We start from the raw sequence: 23774 nt of genomic DNA, 5'->3' as shown, positions 1-23774 counted from the left end.
CATTACTTTAAAAAAGATTCAGTGAAAACCACAATTGACTAAGCTTGAATTTTTCTTCCTTTTCCTAGCTGACTCAAAAGCAAACACACAAAAGCCTCCAGCTAGAGTCACTGTTTTTTTTTTATAATTAATCATTAACAAAACATTTATGAAAATCCAAATGGTTTTAAAATTACTTCAACCTGGTTCTCTTAATAGGGTTTGATTTATTCATCAGAAATCTGATTTCCAGCTGTACTCTCTCACTTTTCAGCAACTATTTATAAAATAACCAAGAGTTCTACCACAAGCACAGAACCCCCAGAAAAGCAAAAAGGCCTCAGAACAACTCTTAATATTCATACGTTAACACTCTTGCCACTTACTCATCAGATCATATTTTTTCACTTAATATTAATGTACTTTCTAATCCACAATAATGTAGCGTAACTTAATTTAAAATGAGGAGAGGAAGGTTAGAAGCAGGGAGGAACTATTAATGACCACCCGTAAGTAATGACCATCTGAAATACTATGTCTCAGATAAAAATTCAGACATTCAGCATGGGGAAGGAGCACTGCATATAGGAGCTAAGAAAAAGTACACACTTTAGGCTGGGTGTGGTGGCTCATGCCTGTAATCCCAGCACTTTGGGAGGCTGAGGCGGGCAGATCATTTGAGGTCAGGAGTTCGAGACCAGCCTGGCCAACATGGTGAAACCCTGTCTCTACTAAACATACAAAAAAATTAGCTGGGCGTGGTGGTGCACGCCTGTAATCCCAGCTACTGGGGAGGCTGAGGCAGGAGAATTGCTTGAACCCAGGAGACAGAGGTTGCAATGAGCTGAGATTGCACCACTGCACTTCAGCCTGGGTGACAGAGTGAGACTCCATCTCAAAAAAAAAAAAAAAAAAAAAGAAAGAAAATAAAAATTATACTTTAATTGCTTTAGCAGCATCAATGTACTGTTCTGTATAAAGTAGGCAAATACCATCTTAGATTTTTAATTCATTGTCTAAATCTTTTATTTTAACCTGAATAAATTTTGAAAAGACAACTAAGCTTTCTGGGAAGCAAATGTTTAGCTGATATTGGAAAAATATAATGTAGTGACAGATCAAGAAAAAAAAGGAAAAATACTTTTTTTCATTAAAAATTTAAAATTATAATACATATGTATGTATTTCTGTCAAAATTGAAATACAAAAAGAAAGCTGAAGACTCCCTTGACTACCACTTGTGACCCCAGTCTTCTCTAAGTGTATATCCTTCCAAATCATATTCCCTGCAGTTATATATGTACATATCCATAAAACATACAGCTTTCTTTTATGTTAGGTATTTAACTTACAGCCTGATGGATGGAAGATTATGCATTAAAAGGGGGATCTTGTTAATTTTTTTGGTAGATTCTTTTATTCTGATCTTGATTAACAGTAAACTTAGTTGCACTTTCACACCAAATACCTCTTGGAAACGGAAATGATGCTAGTTAAAATGGCGAATATAAACTTGGACTTAGTAAAAGATAACAGTAACTTGTTATTAAAAACTTTCAAAGGGATAAAGGCTTGAAACCTCAGGTATCCAGTTTCATGTAAATTACTTACAAGTCTAGGTGATATTTGAGATGGGTCTTAAGAGAGGAAGAGGAATCCTAGGGAGGGGGAGGCGAGGCATGGACAGGCAGAAGGACTGCACTGTGCAAGGGCATGATGGAGAGAAGTACATGCCTAGTTTTCCAGTTTTCCTGAGGATAATTTTACACCAGATCTTCTTTATTTTAAAAATCCAATCCTTTTTCTTAATAACCCCTGTCTGTCCCTGATACCACCATTTTTTTTCTACCAGTCTCTCAGGCTAGAAATTTTGTAGTTATCTTTGCCTCTTCTCTCCATCCTGTAAATCCTACCTGTTGGGAATACATTACTGTCCTTTCTTCAAAATGTTTTATCTGTCTTTTCTTTTTCATTCTCTGCTATTAAGTATAACTTCATTCTCAGTTCCACTGCTGCCTAGCTTTCTGTGTCCTGCTAGGTTCATCATTATCCATCCAACAAACATAAAAGGAAAACTGTTTCTACTCACACACTTCTGAAACCAAATGTGTGGGTTTTCCACACTAAGCAGTTCTCCAGTTCTCTCTGCAGATACAAACCGGGTGTCCTGCAATTCACTTCTGAATTGCCATCAACTAAGATCATAAGACTGCTGAGCAGTTGGTTTGAGAGGGAAGATTCTGAGTTCTGTAGGGCATATCACTTTGGAAATGTCCATTAAACATCCAAATGGATATGTCATGGAGGCAGCTGGAGTTCAGGTTAGAGGTCTGAGTCACTGATAAAACTTTGGGAGTTGTTGGCAAATGATAGCGTATTGGTCAGAGTCCGATTAGGAAAGAGAAGCCACACAGTCATTTGAACAGGAAAAGTGTACCTAGGGAATTGTTAATTGCAACAGGGAAGTGGAGTAACCAGGCACAGACTAGTAGGAAGTATAGGAGGAGCAGCTACTAGTCTAGGGCTCAGGTAGAGAACTCAGGAGAGTCCTCCCCTCTTAGTGCCCTGCCCCTGCACCTCATCAGAGGAACCCAGCCATGGCCCTCTGCTTGTCAGGAGAGTCACCGATGCTATACCACTGGAACTTACTAGAAATACTTCCTTAGGTGCTGGGGAAAGGAGCGGTGTCTCAGAAGAGTTACTCTATAATAAAACTGCCTGGAGCTGGTGAGAGGAGTGGGACCTGCTGGGCACTGGCCACTGTGTCCCTGGTGAAGTCAACCGCCTGCAGGAGCCAGGCGAGGGAGCATAGGAGAACCAGTAGCAAAGACAGCTTTCACCTACAAAGTCTCTCCATTGCTCTAGATAGGAGGTGGTGGTCAGAGTGGGATACTGTGAGGGTTGCAGTCCTTGGACCTGACAAGGTCTAAGGTCTGATCATGGAGGGAGGGGGAAGCTGAGGTAGGGCAGAGGACAAGAATGGGCTTCATGAGACCAAAAGGATGTTAGAAAGATTATTTACCCGGCTACTGACATCTCCAAGAAGTAAGAGGCCTAGTGTGAAGAAGTTACAACATCCTAAGCTCTTCAGGGATAAGGGAAGCATGCGCCACGTAGGTAGCCTCCCTAGTGCAGCACCCAGTATATAGCCTATGCAGAGTGAATACCTGGGGGCTGCTGGGGGTGATAACAAGGTCACTGTGACAGGACCTGAAGCCTGGGGGTCTCGGTGACAGGAGTGGGCCTAGTTTTTTGATGTAGAATTGAGCCTTGCATGCACCGGTGGGATCATATTGAAAAGAAACCCTCCAAGACTAGAGGAAGATGCATCCTCTGACAATGTAGTCTCTGTAGGCGTCCCAAGTAGCTGGGCTGGGGATTAGATGGGCTCCAAGGCATTTCCTCAGGTGGCAATGGGTGGATCCCTGGGAAGGCAAAGCTGTGCAGGAAGAAAATGGCAAGATGCTACCTTCCCTCAGGGAAAGCCCCTTTCCCGGGAGCAGGGAAGGCGAGGCAGTTTAGGCTGGGTCAGTTTGTCCCTGCCCTCAGAGTCTGTTGGTCCCGGAAAAAGAGGGCCTTATTTTATTTATTTATTTTTCTTTGAGACAGTGTCTTGCTCTGTCGCCCAGGCTGGAGTGCAGTGGCTCGATCTCAGCTCACTACAACTTCTGCCTCCCAGGCTCAAGCGATCGTCCCGCCTCAGCCTCCAGAGTAGCTGGGACCACAGGGACCACAGGGACCACAGGCGCCCTGCCACGACGCTGGCTTTATTTTTATTTATTTATTTATTTATTTATTTATTTATTTATTTTTTGAGAGATGTAGCCTCCCTATGTTGCCCAGATTGGTCTTGAACTCCTGGGCTCAAGCAATCCTCCTGCCTCGGCCTCCCAAAAGGCTGGGATTACAGGCGTGATCCACCGCTTCTGGCCAAAAGAGGGCTATAGGGCACCCCCAGAACGCGAGATCTCCCTCGTCTGTCATCTTTACAGAGGAGGAAGTGGACTCCCAATCCAGCCATAGTCCATTCGCCCCGGGCACGGTGACTCCGGGGCGGCCAGAACCAAATGTGTCTCCTGGCTTTTGCACGGCATCAAGTAACCCGCGCCAGGCCGCACAGCTGCCCTGGCCTTCAGCAAGGACTCCGCGAGCGAGGTGCAAGCTGCTGGGGAGTGCCACAGCAGGAGCTGAGGCAGCGGATTCCGAGGGCGGGGTGGGGCTGAATCGGGAGGGACGCGGACCCGGTGGAACGCACTGCGCAGACGGCGCCGGCGCCAGCACTCGGCCGTTGACGAGTCTTTCTTCCAGCTGTCCCCTGAAAGTCATCCAGGCGGCGGTCCCTTTTTTTCTGCCTTTTTGTTTCCCTCCGGCGAGTCGGCGCGAGGGTGAATTTCCGTTTCCGGCGGTGTCCAAGCGGACCTAAGGAGTCGCAGTTGTGAACAGGTTTGGTGCCGCGGGCTGGGGTAGGCGGCGGTTGGGTCCGTGGCTCTGGGGCACTGGGAAGATCGCGAGTCGTGCGCATGGGAAGGTCCTCCCCCGGTCCTCCGGGTCATCTTTGCTCCCGAGGAGCGGCATATTTCGCATCTGCCTGAGGTGTGCCCGGGGGTCGTTGGGAGAGTGACGGGATGAATCCCTGCAGAGAGCCCGGACTGGGAGGGAAGGTGTCGGGGAGACGTCGTTTCCTGGCGACGTGGTCCCGGCAGGCGACTTAGACCTGAGCCGAATCTGTTGACCCCAAATTGTGCTTTTCCCACCAAGAAGAAAAGGGAGAGAAACAGTACAAGTTCGGCAGTAAAATATAGTAGAGAAGCAATATAACCTCTGAAATCACACAGCTATTCAGTTTCAAAGCGTTCCTAGTGCCCAGCTCTCCTAACTCCCGGCCAGTGTTCCTTGACATATGGTGATATATAAAGACTTTCTGTTTCCGCTCGTGTGTGTGTCTGTGAGAAGCCTCTGACTCACTTCTGTGCTCCAGTAGCACCCTCTGCAGCCTTGCAATGTAGCCCTTATTGCATGGCACGGAAGATACTAGTTTGGATTTCCTCTGCCAATCAGACCATAGCTATATCCATTTTCTGGCACAGTGGCTAGCACATCATAGACAGACACAAACATTTATTAAACGGAATGAATACAGGACCTTAACTGAATGAAATGGTACCCTGCCCCGCTTTTTCTCAATCAAGCTGTCAGATTTTATGCAGCCCGATATTCCAAAAAAACTCACAGATTCAGTGACTACCAATTTATTGGCCACAGATTCCCAGGTACCTCAGAAATCACTGGAAGGGTCTCTGTAAGTCCATGGGGTCTCCAGGCATCATCTAAAACCAGTCATATCTCACACATACAGATATTGCTATTTTTCAAATGTATGTAGATGAGCTGTAATTTAGAAGTTTTAGAGTCAACAGGTACTAAAAGTAATACTGCGATCCTATTGGAAGTTCATAAAAACGTTTTAAATTTTTTATTGAAATTTAAGTTCTGGTTTAAGTTAGGAAACCACTTCGTTAGTCCAGTCGATGTCTAGGTCTGAGCTGTCCAGTATGGTAGCCACATGTGACTATTTAGAGTTAGAATGAAATTAATTAAGAATTCATTTTTTCAGTTTCTCTGAAGTACATTTTAAGTAACCACATGTGGCTAATGGCTAAATGGCTGAAAAGTACAGATATAGAATATTTCCATCCTTGCAGAAATAGGTACTGGTGATGTTGACACTTGAGATGAATAAAAAGTAACTTAACCATAGAATGTAACCTTAGCAGAGGTAACTCATCTAATTTATAGCATAACAGAGAGAAATGAAATTGGGGATGGTTAAGCAGTTTCTACCCTTGTTCAGTGAACAAATACATCATGTCTTCATAAAGAAATAAATGAAATTTAATGTTTTTCCCTGGGTATTGCCTGGATTGTAAAATGCTTCTCCCACCTCCTTACCCCAACCTTCTTCCTTGTAGGTTAGAGTTACTTGTTATTGGTAAATAGCCACTATGGAGACTAAGGACCAGAAGAAACACAGAAAGAAAAACGGTGGACCCAAAGCTGCAAAGAAAAAGAAGTGGCATCTGCAGGATCTCCAGCTAGGAGACTAAGAAAATGCCCAGAAGAGAAATGCCAATGCTTTTGCAGTTCAGTCTGCTGTGTGGATGTCTCGATCCTTTCACAGGTGTGTTTAGCTACAGTCTGATGGTTCTTCCATTGAATCTTTTTAAATAGTTAGGAGCCTCTCACAGGTGACATTTGGATTCACAAGTCTAGTCCAGCTCCAAAGGACATGGAGATGCATGCTGTGTGGCTTTTACTAAAACGTGAGAAGACTTGCCATAGAAGCTGCCTTGCCTCCAGCATCTGCACACTGGTTGGCGTTTCTTGCCCAAGATACAAGAATTTATAGAATTTGATTCTTCCTAAACTTTAAACTGTTTCTATGGTGATAAGTGTGCTTTTTCCCTCTGGATATGTTTTACAAAGTTGTAATATAAAATACAAAAATTACAATATGTAATACTAACATAGCTTTATTTAGTGAGTCCTTATGATATTCTTAGCAGTGTACTTTAAACGTTATTCAACTAAATCCTTCCAGCAGCCTTACCAGAGTAGGAATCATTCTTGCCCTCATTTTATGGACAAGAAAACTGAGGTCAAGAAAACAAGTTACCTCCAATCATACAACCAGTAAGTCGGAGAGCCAAATTTAACTCCAGAGCCTCTGCTCTTATCTGTTATGATGCACTGCCTCAGTATTTACCTTTTGGTTTTTAAAAAACTATAAAAATCACTCATAAAGCAGTCAGATTTAAGGTGTGTTTAATTTTCAACTCTATACTATTGAAGTCATCTTGTTACATCTTTATTGAACAGCAATTGATTTGGATAGGGGTCAGAAGTTAATAATTGACAAGTTACTTATATTTTTATATTGTCTGTTGTACTCTCTATAAAATATACTAAAGTACTCATATCTGTAATTATACTAAAAAAAAGTCTACTTATAAGGTTGATACCTTTTACTCTATTTTAAAAGTGAGTTTACTTTTTTTTTCTTTTTTAAATAAATAGGACTCTGGATTTGAAGACACAAAAGCATCATATTCCAGTGGTTGATGGAACTCCACTAGAGCCGCCACCAATACCGGTAGTGGTGACGGGGCCTCCAAAGTTGGAAAGAGCACTTTGATATAATGCCTCATTCGGAACTTCACCTGGCAGAAGTTCACCGAGATCAGAGGCCCTGTGACGATCGTGTCAGGTAGGAGATGGTGCCACAGACACAGACTTGGCGTGGCTGTTGTCATCTGAGGGACATGCGTGTGTTTGTTGTTTTCTTGAGTGGAACATGTTAAATATTGTCATATCATGTTACCTCTCTCTTACTTTTACTAAGTTAGCTATAACTTCATAAAAGGATAAGTTCCCAGAGATAAGGATGTGATACATACCTTATCCTGACTGCTCTATGGCTTTGCCAAGCATGTTCCTTGGAAGGGCCTGACAGGCCTGGTCACTGCGAACACACCATTTAACAGACAGCACGTACCTCCTATGTGCCAGGTGCACATGCTTGCCCTTATGAAGCCACATGCTGGTGGAAGTGCGCGTTTTCTCTTTTTCCTATGAGAATTTGTCTGCTTTGGGAGATGGTGACCTTTCCAAGTTTGAGGGAAGATGAAACAAACGTCCAGTGGTAGAATGGCAATGTACACTCTGAAATCTCTTATTATTGCAGTAATATAGTTGGATTGAGGCTTTTCTTTATCTTTGGCGCATCCATATTTTATTTTCCTTTTTTTGAGACAGAGTCTTGCTCTGTGGCACAGGCTGGAATGCAGTGGTGTGATTACAGCTCACTGCAGCCTCAACCTCCCAGGCTCAAGCAATCCTCCTACCTTAGCCTCCTGAGTAGTGTATGCCACCATGCCTGGCTAATTTTTCTTTTTTTTCCTTTTTTTTAATTTTTATGTTTTTGTAGAGATGGGATTTCCCCATGTGGCCCAGGCTGATCTCAAAACTCCTGGGCTCAAGGGATCCACCTGCCCTGGTCTCCCAAGGTGCCAGGACTACAGGCATGAGCCACTGTGCCCAGCCAATATTTTCTTGATCATTTTCTTATTACCTTAATTTAGAAATAATTATCATTGTAAATATTCTGTTGCATTATGTTTGAGGATGTTTTTAGCGATAGTGGGAATACAGGAAATTTTGATAGAGGTGAAGACATTGGCCTGCAGCTGAACAGCAAGATCATGGTTATCGTGGAGCCTGTCTAGTCAGAATTTTCCCTGTTTTGAGCACTTTTATTCATCTGGGTAGGCTTTTGATATTATCTAAATTTAGAACACAGGAAGAAAAACAGGATGGAATTTATTTTACCAGTTTTTGCCTATAAAAATGAACTTCTGGTACACTCCTGTAAACGTATGTGGTGTTTTACTGGATGCAATTAAAAAATGAAAATTAAGAGTTGATGGTTAGAGTTTTTTCAGGGTCTTTTTAAAGTAAAATTTTCATCTTTTCACTTATAGGTAAAAAGCGCAGACTCACCATTATTGAATGTGGGTGTGACATTAACATGATGATTGATCTGGCTAAAGTAGCAGATCTGGTAAGTGAGCAGGGGCAGCCTGGGGTGCTGATGGAGACTTACAGCATTGTGGTAGGTTATTTACCCCGTGATGAAGGGAAGAGAGTTTTGTGATTATTAAAAGGATCATGGTCATTATCAGGGATATAGTAGATGTGATTGAATTGATGATGATAATAATATTAGTAATAAATGTTGTCATATTAATAATACAAATGGAATGTGCACAATGAAATGTGTTCCAAAATCTAAAAGCAAATCACAGGATGGAGAAAACCTTTAATGAACACAGCTAATAAGAGCTCATTAACATTCATACATATATATGTACAAATATATCATAGTAAGTACCATTTCTTCTTGGATCCTTCCTGGCACTGTGCTAACTGCTTTCTACAAATTTAGCTTACATAAACCCTTGATACACCCTTGAGGTGAGTAGGTATTATCTATAGTTTACATAAGATGAAATAGAGCCTCCCAGCAGTTAAGTAACTTGTGTGAAGATGGGACCCTTGTTCCTGATGGTTCTAGAACCTTCATCCTTAATGATAATGCTAAAGTAAGTACATGAATTGCCTGAAGAAGTGGTCAGAGTTTATCAATAGAAAATTTAGATAGTACTCAGCGTGTGGAAAATGTACATTTATGGAAATGATAATGTTCACTATCTCTGATATTCTATGATCTTTTACATTAGCAAAAAAAAGAAAAAAAGAAAAAAAGGCCAGACACAGTGGCTCATGCCTGTAATCCCAGCACTTTGGGAGACCGAAGTGGGTGAATCACCTGAGGTCGGGAGTTCGAGACCAGCCTGACCAACATGCAGAAACCCCGTCTCTACTAAAAATACAAAATTAGACGGGTGAGGTGGTGCATGCCTGTAATCCCAGTTACTTAGGAGGCTGAGGCAGGAGAATCGCTTCAACCCAGGAGATGGAGGTTGCGGTGAGGCGAGATCGTGCCATTGCACTCTAGCCTGGGCAACAAGAGTGAAATTCTGTCTCAAAAAAAAAAAAAAATTAGCAAAAAAATAAGCCATATTGATTAGGAGGTGTAGGGTGACAGATACCTTGTTTTTTTCATTTTTATTTAGTTTTTGCTAGAGCTACAGATTTTATACTTTGGCCTAGGAAGACTCCTAAAATATAAAGGAAAAAGTAATACAGATTTTAAAGTTGTGCCATTGTAATGTCAGAAAACTAAATAACATTCAAATTTTGAACATGTAATGCTACTATTAGTAAAAATAAGTGTAATTAATGTAAAGTTGTGTAAAGATTACTAAACTTGTATACTTGAAATGATTGAATAGTTCATAGAAGTCATTTGTTTCTCTTTTATTTAAAATGTAGCAAGTTTCTAATTTTAAACACATACATATTAAGAGATGCATTTACATTTTTTTAGTTTTAGTTATTATGGATACATAATAGTTGTACATATTTATGGGGTACATGTAGTATTTTGATAGAAGCATACAATGTGTGATGATCAAATCAGGGTAATTCAGAGATCCGTCACTTCAAACATTTATCATTTATTTGTGTTAGGAACATTTTAATTTCATTCTTTTAGTTATTCTGAATTATATAATAAATTATAGTCACCCTATTGTGCTGTTGGACACTAGAATTTATTCTATCTAACTGTGTTTTTGTACCTGTTAACCTTTCCCTCTTTGTCCCTCCCTCCCTGCTCCCCTTCCCAGCCTCTTAACCATCATTGAGAGAGATGCCTATGTAAATCTTAAGATTTTCAAAAGGAGCACACACATTTGGTAAAGCACTCTAACTGTAATGCACGGTACACACAATGCGCATTTTCTCTTTCCTTGCTGTAACCTCTGGTCTCTCAGGTCCCTGCAGACCTTTATATATATGTATATGTATATGTATATCCTTCCAGATACATATAAACACACATGCCACCCTTTAAAAACACAAACGGTAGCTTATTTTATACACTGTTCTATGCTTTGCTTTTTTCATGTAATATATCTTGAAGGTGTATAATCAGTAAGTACTGTAGCTCTGCCTCCTTCTTTTTAATATAACATTCCATTCTGTGGATGCACCATAATTTATTTAGTCTAGCTTATGTTGATTGCTCTGCTCTGGGTTGTCAAAGCCTCCTGAGTACAGCAGAGGCACACACAGTACGTGGATTTGGGTGTGTACGTGCGTGTGTGGATTAGGGGAGTGACACTGGCTTAGATGGCAAAGATTGGCAGCTGAGGGACTGTTTGCTCCCTTTTATTCCTGACCCTACAACCAGCTGCTTGTCCCTTGGCACTCTGGCATCAGATGTGGTGTGAGGATATTCCACCTGTTCTTTGAGCTGGTCCAGTGTTGCTGGAGAGCTCTGCTTGCTGCCTTGGTCTGCAGTGGCAGCTGTGCTTTCCTACAAGCCCAACTTCATATATTCTGTGGTTTTGGGTTTTGAATGTTTCCTAGTTTAATCAAGGATGGGCATTTCTGTTTCCATTTTGTGTTATTTTTAGTTATCCATGGAAAGATAGAAACAGAACTATCTTTAGTATTAAAATTACAAGTTTCCAGGAATCAGTTCTGAAATTATTTTGCATCTTTGAAGTGTCTTAAATTTTAAAAATTGGTCTTGGCCAGGTGCGGTGGCTCACGCCTGTAATCCCAGCACTTCGGAGGCCAAGGCAGGCAGATCACGGGGTCAGGAGATCGAGACCATCCTGGTGAACACTGTGAAACCCCGTCTCTACTAAAAAAATACAAAAAAAACTAGCCGGGTGTGGTGGTGGGTGCCTGTAGTCCCAGCTACTCAGGAGGCTGAGGCAGAAGAATGGCATGAATCCGGGGGGCGGAGCTTGCGCTGAGCCGAGATCAAGCCACTGCACTCCAGCCTGGGCAACAGAGCGAGACTCTGTCTCAAAAAAAAAAAAAAAAAAAAAAAATTGGTCTTATCTGCTTATATTTTCTTATAGACTACCATTCATCATAATCTTTCTGTTTTTTTACTTAATTCTAAACTGGTAGCTATTTCAAATATTTCTGAGCAATTGAGTTATACAAATTAACATACAAGTTAGAGGTTTCCATTGTATACTTCCCAGCAAAAAAAGATTTTTTTTTTTTTTCTGTGAGGAGATTGAAAGAAGAGGTTGGTTTTCTGTACGTATTTAATATATTTCATTGATTATCACTTTCTTCCCATTCTTTGGATGTCAGAGACCTGTTATTTGGCTTAAAAATACATTACAGAAAACTTCATTTCTTTAAATTAGGATTTCTTAGGTAAGGGCCAGGTTAGACCCAGCCTTTTCTGAGTTACTTCTCATGCATTAGAATTCTTAAAATGGATGTTTATATCCTAGTGGCCTTGTCTTATGGTTGCCTTTTAGAGCAAGTCAGAGGGTGGTGGTTTCTCTGTCTGGGTGATGCCTGTGTAGTCATTTGATTTAGTCTGGAGTGGGACTTTTCTGTCGAGGGCCAGATAGTGAATATTTTCAGCTTTGTGGATCATATCTTCTGCAGCTACTTAGCTCTGCAGTTGTAGTGCACAGGCGGCCATAGACAATATGTAAAGGAATTAATGTGGCTATGTTCCAATAAAACTTTAGTTACAAACACAGGTGATGGGCTGGATTTGGCCCGTGGGCCAGTTGCCAACCCCTAGTGTAGGTGGTCTGTTTTGGTAGTTTCTTCGAGAAATAATGTGTTGTGCTTGTAGGTACTGATGCTTATAGATGCCAGCTTTGGGTTTGAAATGGAAATGTTTGAGTTTCTAAACATCTGTCAAGCACATGGCTTTCCTAAAATTCTGGGAGTTCTCACCCACCTCGACTCCTTCAAGCATAACAAGCAACTGAAGAAGACAAAGAAGCGATTAAAACACAGGTTCTGGACAGAAGTTTACCAGGTAGGAAGAGAAATAATTGTTAGACACTAACAGTATAATCCTTTAAAACCAGACTAAAGAGGCCAGGCACAGTGGCTCATGCCTGTAATCCCAGCACTTTGGGAGGCAGAGTCAGGTGGATCACTTGAGGCCAGGAGTTTCGAGCTCAGGGCAATATGGCCAAACCCTGTCTCTACTCAAAAGGCAAAAATTAGTCGGGTGTGGTGGCATGCACCTGTAATCCCAGCTACTAGGGAGGCTGAGACGTGAGAATTGCTCAAAGCTGGGAGGCAGAGGGTGGAGTGAGCTGAGAGTGCACCACTGCACTCCAGCCTGGGTGACAGAGTGAGACTCCATCTCAAACAAACAAACAAACAAACAAACAAACAAAAAGACTGAAGAGACATTACTAAACATCTCTCTAGGAATTGCCTCCTGAATTCCCTTTGTGTATGTGTTCCCAGTCTCTGGAAGGTGTCCCTCAAGAGAGTGGTTATTCTGGGCCTCTTGGTGTATCTCATTTGTCTCCGTACCTGCTGCACCAGGCAATGTCTGGGTGTTTTGGAGTCGGGACTTAATAGAGTACATCAGAAGTTTCTCCCAGTTACAGGACCAGGCACTGCCCCTTCCTTTCCATACTGCTGTGGTCCATCGGCCACAGAACCGTTTCTGTGCTCAGAGGCCTCACCTCCCTCTCCTCACCATACTTAGACAGATGCACCGGCTTGGTTGCAGAGCAGTCTGCCTCTGTGTGGTTCTAATAAGTCCTGAAAGAATCCAGCAAGGCTCTGGAAGCCTCAGGACAGTGGCTTTGCTGGAAGTCTCCCTTCTTAGGATTGCTTCTTGTTTAGAGCTTTTATTTTGTTGCAGTATTGACGAGAATTTAATTGAAATTTAATTTTTAATTTTCCTTTAATGTTTAGGTTGCCAAACTGTTCTACCTTTCTGGAATGGTGCATGGAGAATATCAAAACCAAGAAATCCACAATCTGGGCCATTTTATTACAGTTATGAAGTTTAGGCCTCTCATGGCAAACTTTTCACCCTTATATCCTGGCAGACAGGTAAAAAGTGATTGTAAACTTTTTCTTCCTGGGCCATGTATTTCAAAGCTAAAAAGGCTAGAAAAAGAACAGTGATAGGATTTATTTTGTGCCTATTTGAATAGTGGGGGTAGAAGTGCAGTTGATGGAAAATGTCTACTTATATCATTGCTCAAAGATGCTGTGCCTTTGGGAGTAAATTAATTATGAGATGTTTAGGAAAATGGGAGGACTTGGAAGCATTTAAGGCTACAGGATGTGGCCCCATCCTACGTTCAGCCTCGGTTTTCAGTGATGCTGCCTTCGTGCCCGGGTGCTGGAGTCCTTCGTGCGTGCCTTCAGTTTCCTTCCTTTGTGCTCTTCTTTGTGCTGTGATTTTCTCAGCCTGGAATACCCCTTTTCCACCTGCCAGAATCCAAGCCACAGTACAAATCCCAGAGCACAGGCTCACCCTCTTCCAGAAACGGATTTTCTGCATATGTTCTTCACTCTTCCCTGACCCCAGGTAGACGTCGTCTCCCATCTGGTGTCTTATGGAATGAATGTCACTTTCAGCCTAGAGACACAGTTGTGTGCCTGCCCCTTTTCCTCTGCTGGATGGTGAACGGTGCTTCCTTATTTCTGCATTTTCTAGTTCCTAAGTGATGTGCTTAGTGGACAAGAGTGTGATGAGTCATTGACACATGAAAGGAGGTATAGGAACTTTGGCATTCGTTTCTGCTGTATGATTGAGTTTATTTTTCTAGGATGGAAGATTTGACAAACCCGGAGGATATCCAAACAAACATCAAATGTGACCGGCAGGTGTCACTTTATGGTTATTTAAGAGGAGCACACTTCAAAGATAAAAGCCAAATTCACATGCCAGGTATTCTCTTGTTGTAGAACATACTAGAATTGCACATAGGATTCTTGGGATGGCTTCATTTCTCAGGAAAAATGAAAAATGACCAAACAAGGGAAGATGGCCTTGCTGGAGGTTTTAAAAGTAAGCCAGCTATGTGTAGGCCTGCAAAGGTGTTACCGAATCCCTCTTCTCTGACCTCTTGTAGCTAGAGGGCCACTGTTCCAGTGTGGCACAATGCCCTTCTTTAGGGTCATGGGTTAAGCCCTTGGACTGTGGATCGTTTTTAACCCCCCAGTCAACAGTAGATACTTACTGACTTCTTGTCAGTTGAAGCTGGCTTTTTGGGTCCCGTCTTCCAGGGGTAGAACATTTTGCCATGAGTGACATCGGTTTCCTCCCAGACCCTTGTGTTCTTCCTGAATAACAAAAGAAGTGCTGTTTAAATAAGAAGGAGCAGCTGGTTTATGTGCCTGTTTCTGGAGTTGAGGGTGTGCTGTATGACAAAGACGCTGTCTGTGTTGACCTTGGTGGCAGCCACGGTTTTCAGGCATCAGTGAGGCAGGAGTCTTTGCTCTGAACTCTCATTATTCTTTCCTAATCTATTTTTTAATCAAAAAAAGTAATGTACTCAGCTTTTATTTATTGAAGATTTTTCTCTTGTACTTATAATAAAGGCCCAAATGCATATTGTCAATATGTAGAATAAAAAGAATACCATTTTTTCATTGTACCAAGCAGAAGAGTCCTGTCCTCCATGCCTCCTTGATCCATGGCCCCAGCGCGGGCACTGCTGCCAGTGTGGCACCTGCACGGCTTATTTCTGTTTCTACAAAATCAGTGTGCTTTCCAGCTCTCGTTTGTCTTTTTCTTTTTCTCAATCACAGTGGTCTCCTCATTATTTTAAAGTGGATTTCCAATATTTATTTCTTAGTTCTGTAGTTGAATTTTATTGGGTTAAAAGCAGGGTTATTTAAAAATGTTAGAAAAGCTAGCACTGTTGTAGCACTGGAACTGAGGTTTTTCTAGCTAGGTGTTTAGGTTATCAGGTTATATACTCACTGAGCTTTGGACAAGTTTAATGGAGATGGGGATCCATTTCAAGCTTTGTTATAAGGATTTTCTTCTCTGGTGTTTGTGGCATTAAGAAAAGATCTCAGGAAATGTGTCTAAGATAATTTTGAGAAACTGAGTGAAACCAGTGTCTCTCCAGGATCTTTGTGCTTTCCTCACGTGCCCTTTCTTGGTGGCCTTGATAGGACAAGGTGGGGCTCACCCATGAGCTGGTCCAGAGTCTCATCTCCACCTACTCCACCATTGATGCCAAGATGGCTTCAAGTCGAGTGACGCTGCTTTCCAATTCCAAACCACTTGGGTCAGAGGCTATAGATAATCAAGGGTAAGTCTGCTTTTTTTCTATTTTTAATAAAAAGATATATTACAGAAGATTGTATCACCCATAATTCTGCCATCATAACACATTTTGGTGGGATTCATTCTATGTCGTTTTGTTTTTCTTTGTGTGTGCATGTGTCTCTGAGGGCTCTTCACTTACCTGACATTACAAGGGAGTCTTATCTTGAAAAAAAATACAGGATGCATTTTTCAACAGACTTCAAATATTCCTCAAATACCACGCCATCTTCCATAGGTTGCTTTTTTGGTTTTTCAGAGACCTGAGGCCACTTGGCTTTCTTTTGATGGCCGAAACACTAGAGCAGAGTCAGGGAGTTTGTGGCTGTCCAGAAGCCACATGCCTTGTCTCTGAAAGTTTTATTTAGATTATGTTGTATTATCTCCCATGGGTAGGTTTCCACTAATGTGTGGCTTATGTGAATTATTTTTCAGTCTGGGTTGGGAATTTGTATACCTTTATGCTTAGTGGATGTTTGCAAAACATTGATTTTGTTGTATTGATTTATGACTCCCAGTAAAATTTATCTGAAAATCTTGAGATAATGTAGTATATAATTTGTTACAATGTGCATAAACTACCTACCACAGTGCCTGACGTAATGAGTGTTATTAGCTGTTTTCATTTTTGCATATCCTTCTAGTCATCCTTGTCTACAAGAATACTCTCTTCTAATATAGCTACAGGTAAAATACATAATTTTATTTCTATATTCTGAGGATTTTTTTTCTATACAGTCTTTATGTAATCATGATTTTATTGTTACCAGTGTTTTTTTGTTATTGTGGTTTCTTTGTTTTTGTTTTTGTTTTTGTTTTTGTTTTGAGATAAGGTCTCACTTTGTCTCCCAGGCTGGAGTGCAGTGGTGTGATCTTGGCTCACTGCAGCCTTGAACTCCCAGGCTCAAGTGATCCTCCTGCTTCAGCCCCGCAAGTAGCTAGGACTACAGGAGTGCACCACCACTCCCGGCTAATTTTTTTTGTTCTGTTCTAGGGACGAGTTCTCACTATGTTGCCTAGGCTGGTCTCGAACTCCTGGGCTCAAGCAATCCTCCCGACTTGGCCTCCCAAAATCCTGGGATTACATATGTGAGCCACTATGCCTGGCCTGTTATTCCTGTATTCTAACTTATCCATCCCTTATGGTATGATTTTTAGTTTTTTCTAATTTATGTTTTCATACTTTTATCTATTGTGCTACGTTAAAAAGCTTCATATAGTTTTCTTTCATCCAGTGATTTTAGCCCCCTGATAATCTTCTCTATCAGTTATGGCACTGGTGACTCAAAATGGATGTTATTCCTCTGTCATTCCTTCTAAGTTTGTTACCTGGCATTTTTAACAAAGAGCTTTCTCTTCTCCCCTTTGTTTCAGCATCACGGCTGACTAATGCACTTGCGTTTTATTCCATGGGTTATTTTCCATCACTGTCATTGTACTTTCTGATGCCTATGCTGTCCCAGATTCGGCTGCGGGAGCCTTCGGCCTGTCTCCTGTGTCCCTTCAACTGTCTCTGTTAGTCTTTGAGCATTTCTTACTTTCTGACAGAACCAGAGGATCCAGGCTCATTTTGTCCTCTTCCTGCCTTGGGCCTGGACTCAGCCATTTCTCTTAAGGATCATGCGTTTTTAGCTTAGAAATTAATCAGCTTTCCAGAAGATCTATAAAACCCTAACTTCCCTTTTGAGCAATTTTTTTCTAAAATTAGATTTTTTTTTTAAGGGTTATTCCTTTATTCTCTCTATAAGTTCTTTTGAAGTGTGGTGTTAGGGAACCATGCCTCAGTTTCCTTATTAACTCTTCCGGTGTTTATCAGATCATTTTTTCCCTACGCTATGTCATCTTAAACATCTTAAGCAATTCATTGACATTTTCTGTTTCTTTTGTATTTTCATTGACTATATTTCCAGTTCTAGATTAGCTGATTAATGTACAAATTGAATTATTTTGCATATCCTTGGTGATATAGGCTGTTGATGCCAAAGGAGGAAAAACAAATAGACTTGAAAACTGGTCGAATGCGTCAGAAAGCCATTTTTGGAGATGATTCTGTGCGAACGTCTTCTCTCCTTTCTTGATCTCTTAATTTTTTTTTCTTATCCAAATATATACCAGCTGATTTTGTCTTTCTAGAAGATCCAAGATCTTTGGTTTAGAGATATATTCTCTTAATGTTAACTGGTATTAGAATACTCTTTTCTGTATTTTATTTCGATGCATTTTAAAAATAGAAATGATTGTATTTTCTTTTAACTTGTGAAGTAGAGCATGGCATACAAATTTTGTATTCTCATTATTTCAAAAAATTTCCTTCTTAGTGTACAAGTTGTATTCAGCACATAAAGTCCATCCAGCTTTGTTGTAGATGCAGTGTGATTATTACATGTTGATAAGGTGTGAATTGGAGATGGGATCCAAAAGTACTGTACTTATTGTAATTTTTAAGCTAATTGTAGATTTGGTGGTGAATATTTTACTACTGCAAAATGAAAACAGCATTTCATCAGAAGTTGTTTTATGGTCTTTCAGGCATTTTATTTTATATCTTTGATGCTTTTTGCCCATGAAGTATCTCTTTTGTGTGTTTGTGTGTATGTGTACTGATTTGCTGTAAATTTCACAGTGCTCATTGTCAGGGATCATCAGAATCAGGCCTAGGCAGAGAGCTGAGCAGTACTCTCAGTATGTCTCTGTGTCCTGGTTGCCGCATATCTCTGTTGTTTATTTATAAATTGGAGAGCTCTCTGATGTGTAACAAAGGTTGGATAGATCAGAGACAATTGGAAGACGAATCCTCTACTCTATTGTCACCTCTTATTTTTCTATTCACACATGTCAGATAGAGACATGCGTGTTGTAAATTATTTTGTCAGAATGAAAGCCTGGCAGATTAAGTGATTTCTTCTCTTTTTGCTGTACTTGATATCGATCTCTTGTTCATTTCTTGATAATATGTTTGGTTATTTTTGTTTTCATTGCTTTTGGTGTCAGAGATGGCTTTGGATTCCCTGTTCTGTGTGCTCCTGTCTGGCTCCTGAACCCAGCTGGAGAGGTGTGTCAATCCCAACTGGTGAAGTACTGAGAGGAAGCTACACAAAAGGCAGCAAGGTGTTAATAAGTGTACCTCTGACATTTTAACCACCTCTGACTTTTCCATGGAATGGACAAGTAGTAGTCTCTGTCAGAGCAATGTTTTAAAGGAAAAAAAGAAACTTGAGGTCGTAAACTGTTTATTAATTTATGCTGTTATTTTGTGTTTACTCAACTCATTTATATTGACTTGTAAATTAGTAATTTATGAACTACTATTCATCAATTCATTGCCTACATGTCAGCAAACAAGTTTTCTTCTTAATAAAGAATCCGGTGGCTGGGCACAATGGTTCACACCTGTAATCTCAGCATGTTGGGAGGGCAAGGCAGGAGGATTCCTTGAGGCCAAGAGTTCAAGACCCGCCTGGGCAACATAGCAAGATTTCATCTCTACAAAAAAATGAAAATATTGGCTGGGCATGGTGGCTCATTCCTATAGTTCAGGCTACTCAGGAGCCTGAGGTAGGAGGATCACTTGAACCCAGGAGTTTGAGGCTGCAGTGAGCTATGATCCTAACACTGCTCTCCAGCCTGGGTGACACACCAAGAGACCACCTCTTCAAAAAAGGAATCTAGGGGCATCAGTGTGTGCACACAGCATGGCTTGTGAATGCGGAAGTGCCTGTGTGCATAGTTGTGCTCAAGAATGTGTTGATGATTATATCTTCTCAGCATGAAAAAAAGTTGTTGTTGTTTTTTTTTGAGATGGAGTCTTGCTCTGTCACCAGACTGGAGTGCAGTAGTGCTATCTCGGCTCACTGCAACCTCTGCCTCCCGGGTTCAAGTGATTCTCCTGCCTCAGCCTCCTGAGTAGCTGGGACTACAGGCACACGTCACCACTCCTGGCTGATTTTTTGTATTTTAGTAGATACGGGGTTTCGCCATGTGGGCCAGGATGGTCTTGATCCCCTGACCTCGTGATTGGCCCACCTAGGCCTCCCAAAATGCTGGGATTACAGGTATGAGCCACCGTGCCTGGCCTGAAGTTCACATTTATAAAGATCTCTCTACGTCTTAGATTTGATTCTTCCTTTAAATATTTTTCTCATTGACATTTGAAAGCACCTGACCTTATATAAAATGAAGAATTTTCATAACTCCATAAAAGGAGAATTATGACATCATCTACTATTTCTTTCTCTTGTCTCATAAATCTAAACCATCAACCTGCTTATTTTTGTATACTGTCACACTGTGTATTCCCTGCATTGAATGCCTTTCTATTGACATTGTCTGTAAAAATTGTGGGAAGTTTTCTGCACCCTAAATTTTCTGTTATGGGGATTAGATATCCAGTATCCATGTTTTTCCAAGTCTTACATCAGAAAGGGTAAATACAGCCCTCACAGCAGCCTGTTGTTTGTCCTGCAGTTGTGTTTCCATCACATTACACAAAGCCTCTTTGTCTTCGTGGTTGTACCCTGCTAATAAGTTTTTTTTAAATTATGTAATATGTGTATATACAAATACCTATATGTATGTGTGTACACATACAGCTGATATCTACTGAGATTATGTATGCATGAACTATAGAATTAACTTGTAATTTTAAGAAAATAAATTATTTTGTAAAGATAAATCTCATGTTTAAGAAGGGGAATTACAATTGAATCATTTAGGGATGCCTCAGCCTAAGCATAATATGGAAAAAGCCATAACCAAAAGTCATTTTAGAGTACTGCTAGGTTACTCAACCTATCATCACATTTAATTAAAATGTCAGTTTGAACCATGGCCAGTCGATTTTCGTTAATATGTTATTTAAATCAACTTGTGAAGTCTTCATTTTAGATATAGAATTTGTGTTAATGAACTGGAAAATAACATTCTATTGCTTGGAAGATGTGTTAAAGCCTAAATATTTATGACTTTGTAAAAGAAGAAAACCAGCTGGTGATCAGTTGGCATTAGTATATAAGGATGTACTCATATTTGATAATAGCCATTTTTTTCTAACAAGAGTAAGGGAGTTGGGAATGGGAGGCAGAGACAGGGACACAGATATATAAAAAATTGTAGACAAAACTGTATTGCGTTCTGAGTATGGTTCTGTGATCCATGGTTCAGTTTGAGAGGTTCCTGTGTCCCTTATGAGAAGGGACAGGAAAGCCAGGAGGACAGGAGTATGTTTGGGCCTGTGCCTGTGCTTCCACCACAGAAGTCAGCAGCTCTACCTTTCTCTTTTCTCCTCTTTATCTAATAATTGTTTCCTCTTCAAATTTGGGAAATGAGCTTAATCAAATATTTGTTGTGTTTTTTGTTTGTTTTTGAAATGTGGCCTCAGTGTGTTTGCCCAGGCTGATCTTAAACTCCTGGGCTCAAGTGATCCTCCCTCTCAGCGTCCTGTGTAGCTGGGACTACAGGCATGTGCCACCACACCCAGCTAAGTTAATGCTAATGTGTAGTTTATCTGATTCAGTTTTGAAGGGCGGGGTATATATAGATAGTTATGTTGTGTGTGTGGTGGTGGGGGTAGTGTTTATGTGTGTGTGTGTATATATATATTTATATATTACTAGTCCATTGCTGCTACAACAAACTACCAGTATGTCAGGGCATAAAACAAATTTATTACACTCCCGTATGTCAGAGTGTGATGTGGATCTCACTGGGCTAAAATCTAGGTGGTGGAAAGGCTACCTTCATCTCTAGAGGCTCTAGGGGATCTTTTTTCTCGCCTTTTCCACATTCTGGAGTCTGCCTGCATTTTTTGGCTTTGGGCTCTTCTCCACTCTCACCATTAGCAACCTTGCATCCCATGGGCCCTTCTTCTATGGCCACATGTCTCTGTGGCTCTTTCCTTCCCCCTTCTCTTCCACTGTTAAGGACTCATGTGCTTACTTAGTCCTGAATGGAGACACCGTCATCATCCACATGAGCCCACTGTCCTAATCCATACAGGCTGCTACAAGGAAATGCATTAGACCAGGTAGCTTATAAATAACAGAACTTTGTTTCTCACAGTCCTGGAGGCTGAGAAGTGCAAGATCAAGGTGCCGGCAGTCTTGGTGTCTGGTGAAGGCCTGCTTTCTCATAGAGGCTTCCTTCTTGCTGTGTCTTCGCATGGTGAGAGGAACAAACAAGCTCCCTTGTGCCTTTAATAAGGTGCTAATCCCAGTCATGAGGGCAGAGTCTCCCGTAAGGCTTAACCTCCTAATGCCATCACCTTGAGGGTTAGGATTTTAACACATGAACAGTGACGGAACACAACGTTCATTCCATAGCACCAGGGTAGTCTCCTCATGTCAAGGTCTTTACCTGAATCACATGCATGATGTACCGTTTTCATGTAAGGTTCTAGGAATCTGTGGACATCTTTGGGGGGCCATTATTTTGCTGATCACATATTACATATTTTTTAATATTCTAGACTAGTATGAAAACAATGCCACTTCCATTGCTTTATATACGTATCTATATACACATTGTCTAATGCTATAATTAAAAAAAAGTTGTAGACACAAATATACCCATTTAAAAAAAAAATTTTTTTTGCTATTTTACTTCATACTGCCAACTCCTTTTTCCTGAAACTGCTTCAACTCTGGAATTCTTTTTTGCTATTAGTTTTATTTTATTGAAATATTCATGAATGAGCATACACTTGTATATGGATTTAAAATTCACAGTAATGTTCTCATGAGTTCATCTGTGAATAACATTTTATAGACAAAATGTCTGCACTAAGACAAGAGAAAGATCTATAATTCCTTTGTTCTAAGGTACCGCCATTCATTGTTATTATTTTAAAATAGGAGTGTTGACTGATGTTAAAACACAAAATGGGTTCGGGAGTGGTGGCTCCCGCCTGTAATCCCAACACTTTGGGAGACCGAGGTGGGCGGATCACCTGAGGTCAGGAGTTTGAGAACAGCCTGGCCAACATGGTGAAACCCTGTCTCTACTAAAAATACAAAAGTTAGCTGGGCATGTGTTGCGCGCCCATGATCTTAGCTACCCGGGAGACTGAGTCCGGAGAATCGCTGGAACCTGGGAGGCGGAGGCTGCAGTGAGCCGAGATCATACCAGTGCACTCCAGCCTAGATGACAGAGTGAGACTCTGTTCTTCCCCCAACCCCCCAAAAAAACACAAAAAGGGATAATTGGCCGGGCACAGTGGCTCACGCCTGTAATCCCAGCACTTTGGGAGGCCGAGGTGGATGGATCACCTGAGACCGGGAGTTTGAGACCAGCCTGACCAACATGGAAAAAACCCATCTCTACTAAAAATACAAAAATTAGCTGGGCATGGTGGCACATGCCTGTAATCCCAGCTACTCAGGAGGCTGAGGCAGGAGAATTGCTTGACTCTGGGAGGTGGAGGTTGCTGTGAGCCAAGATCGCACCATTGCACTCTAGCCTGGGCAATAACAGCAAAACTCCGTCTCAAAAAAAAAAAAAAAAAAATTATAACTGGGCAGTGGAATTGAAAATGATTTTAAAAAATATCCAAAATACCTAAGGAACTTGTATAAATAAATAGGAAAAAAAAAGAGAAAAACATCAAGAAGCCCACAAAAAAGCAGATTTGTAAATGGGCAATGGATTCGAATAGACATTTAGCCATAGAAGGCATCCAGTTGGTGAAAAGGCATATGGAAAGGTGCTCAGCATCACTGATTATCAGGAAAATGAAAATGAAAACCGCCACGAGTGGTTTAGACCATAGCGGCATGCATGAAAGTTTTCAGACCTCCAGTTGTTGGGAGTGGCTGAGGAGATTGGGGAGCTTCTGTCTGAGTTGGAAGAGTGGAGTCTCAACAAGAACCAGCGTATTCTGGACATGTGTGCGCCCTGGAGTGTTCATGGCTGGATGCCTTGTCTACCTGTGCCTTACAGAGTGACACCATTGTGGTGTGGTCGATCAGAGGGGCAGGAGGCTTTCAGAGGGAGTGGGAAGTGGTGGGGCTTGGTTTGTTTGCCCATGGATGAC

General features: G+C 41.2%; 1 protein-coding gene and 2 pseudogenes across 4 annotated transcripts in view, besides 2 other annotated features; all 3 read left to right on the top strand.

The window, feature by feature from the left end:
- ANXA8 (annexin A8) overlaps positions 1-23774 on the top strand; it is a 523804-nt gene that overhangs the window by 433896 nt on the left and 66134 nt on the right. The gene's annotated exons all lie outside the window — the stretch shown is intronic.
- BMS1P2 (BMS1 pseudogene 2) lies at positions 4378-22327 on the top strand (annotated as a pseudogene). The gene is made up of 9 exons (NR_024495.2): positions 4378-4422; positions 5949-6157; positions 7054-7243; positions 8517-8596; positions 12281-12469; positions 13372-13512; positions 14238-14359; positions 15595-15734; positions 18740-22327. The product of NR_024495.2 is annotated as a BMS1 pseudogene 2 (transcript).
- BMS1P2-AGAP9 (BMS1P2-AGAP9 readthrough) overlaps positions 4401-23774 on the top strand; it is a 51748-nt pseudogene continuing 32374 nt past the window's right edge. The window contains exons 1-8 of one of the 2 annotated variants that reach the window (NR_160414.1): positions 4401-4422; positions 5949-6157; positions 7054-7243; positions 8517-8596; positions 12281-12469; positions 13372-13512; positions 14238-14359; positions 15595-15734. The product of NR_160414.1 is annotated as a BMS1P2-AGAP9 readthrough, transcript variant 1 (transcript). Of the gene's footprint in view, positions 4573-5948; positions 6158-7053; positions 7244-8516; positions 8597-12280; positions 12470-13371; positions 13513-14237; positions 14360-15594; positions 15735-23774 lie in introns of both variants that reach the window. The other variant, NR_160415.1, reaches the window with a different exon arrangement.
- Positions 4505-4624: an enhancer, noted in NCBI's record as "active region_3328". NCBI's record gives its function as "activates an Ori minimal core promoter by ATAC-STARR-seq in GM12878 lymphoblastoid cells {active_cell/tissue: GM12878}" and the evidence as "EXISTENCE:reporter gene assay evidence [ECO:0000049][PMID:35858748]".
- Positions 4645-4694: an enhancer, noted in NCBI's record as "active region_3327". NCBI's record gives its function as "activates an Ori minimal core promoter by ATAC-STARR-seq in GM12878 lymphoblastoid cells {active_cell/tissue: GM12878}" and the evidence as "EXISTENCE:reporter gene assay evidence [ECO:0000049][PMID:35858748]".

The sequence above is a fragment of the Homo sapiens genome, chromosome 10, assembly GCF_000001405.40.
Source record: "Homo sapiens chromosome 10, GRCh38.p14 Primary Assembly".
NCBI lineage: Eukaryota > Metazoa > Chordata > Mammalia > Primates > Hominidae > Homo > Homo sapiens.
Note: the sequence above shows the minus strand (reverse complement) of the source record. Positions and strands in the feature narration are given on the sequence as shown.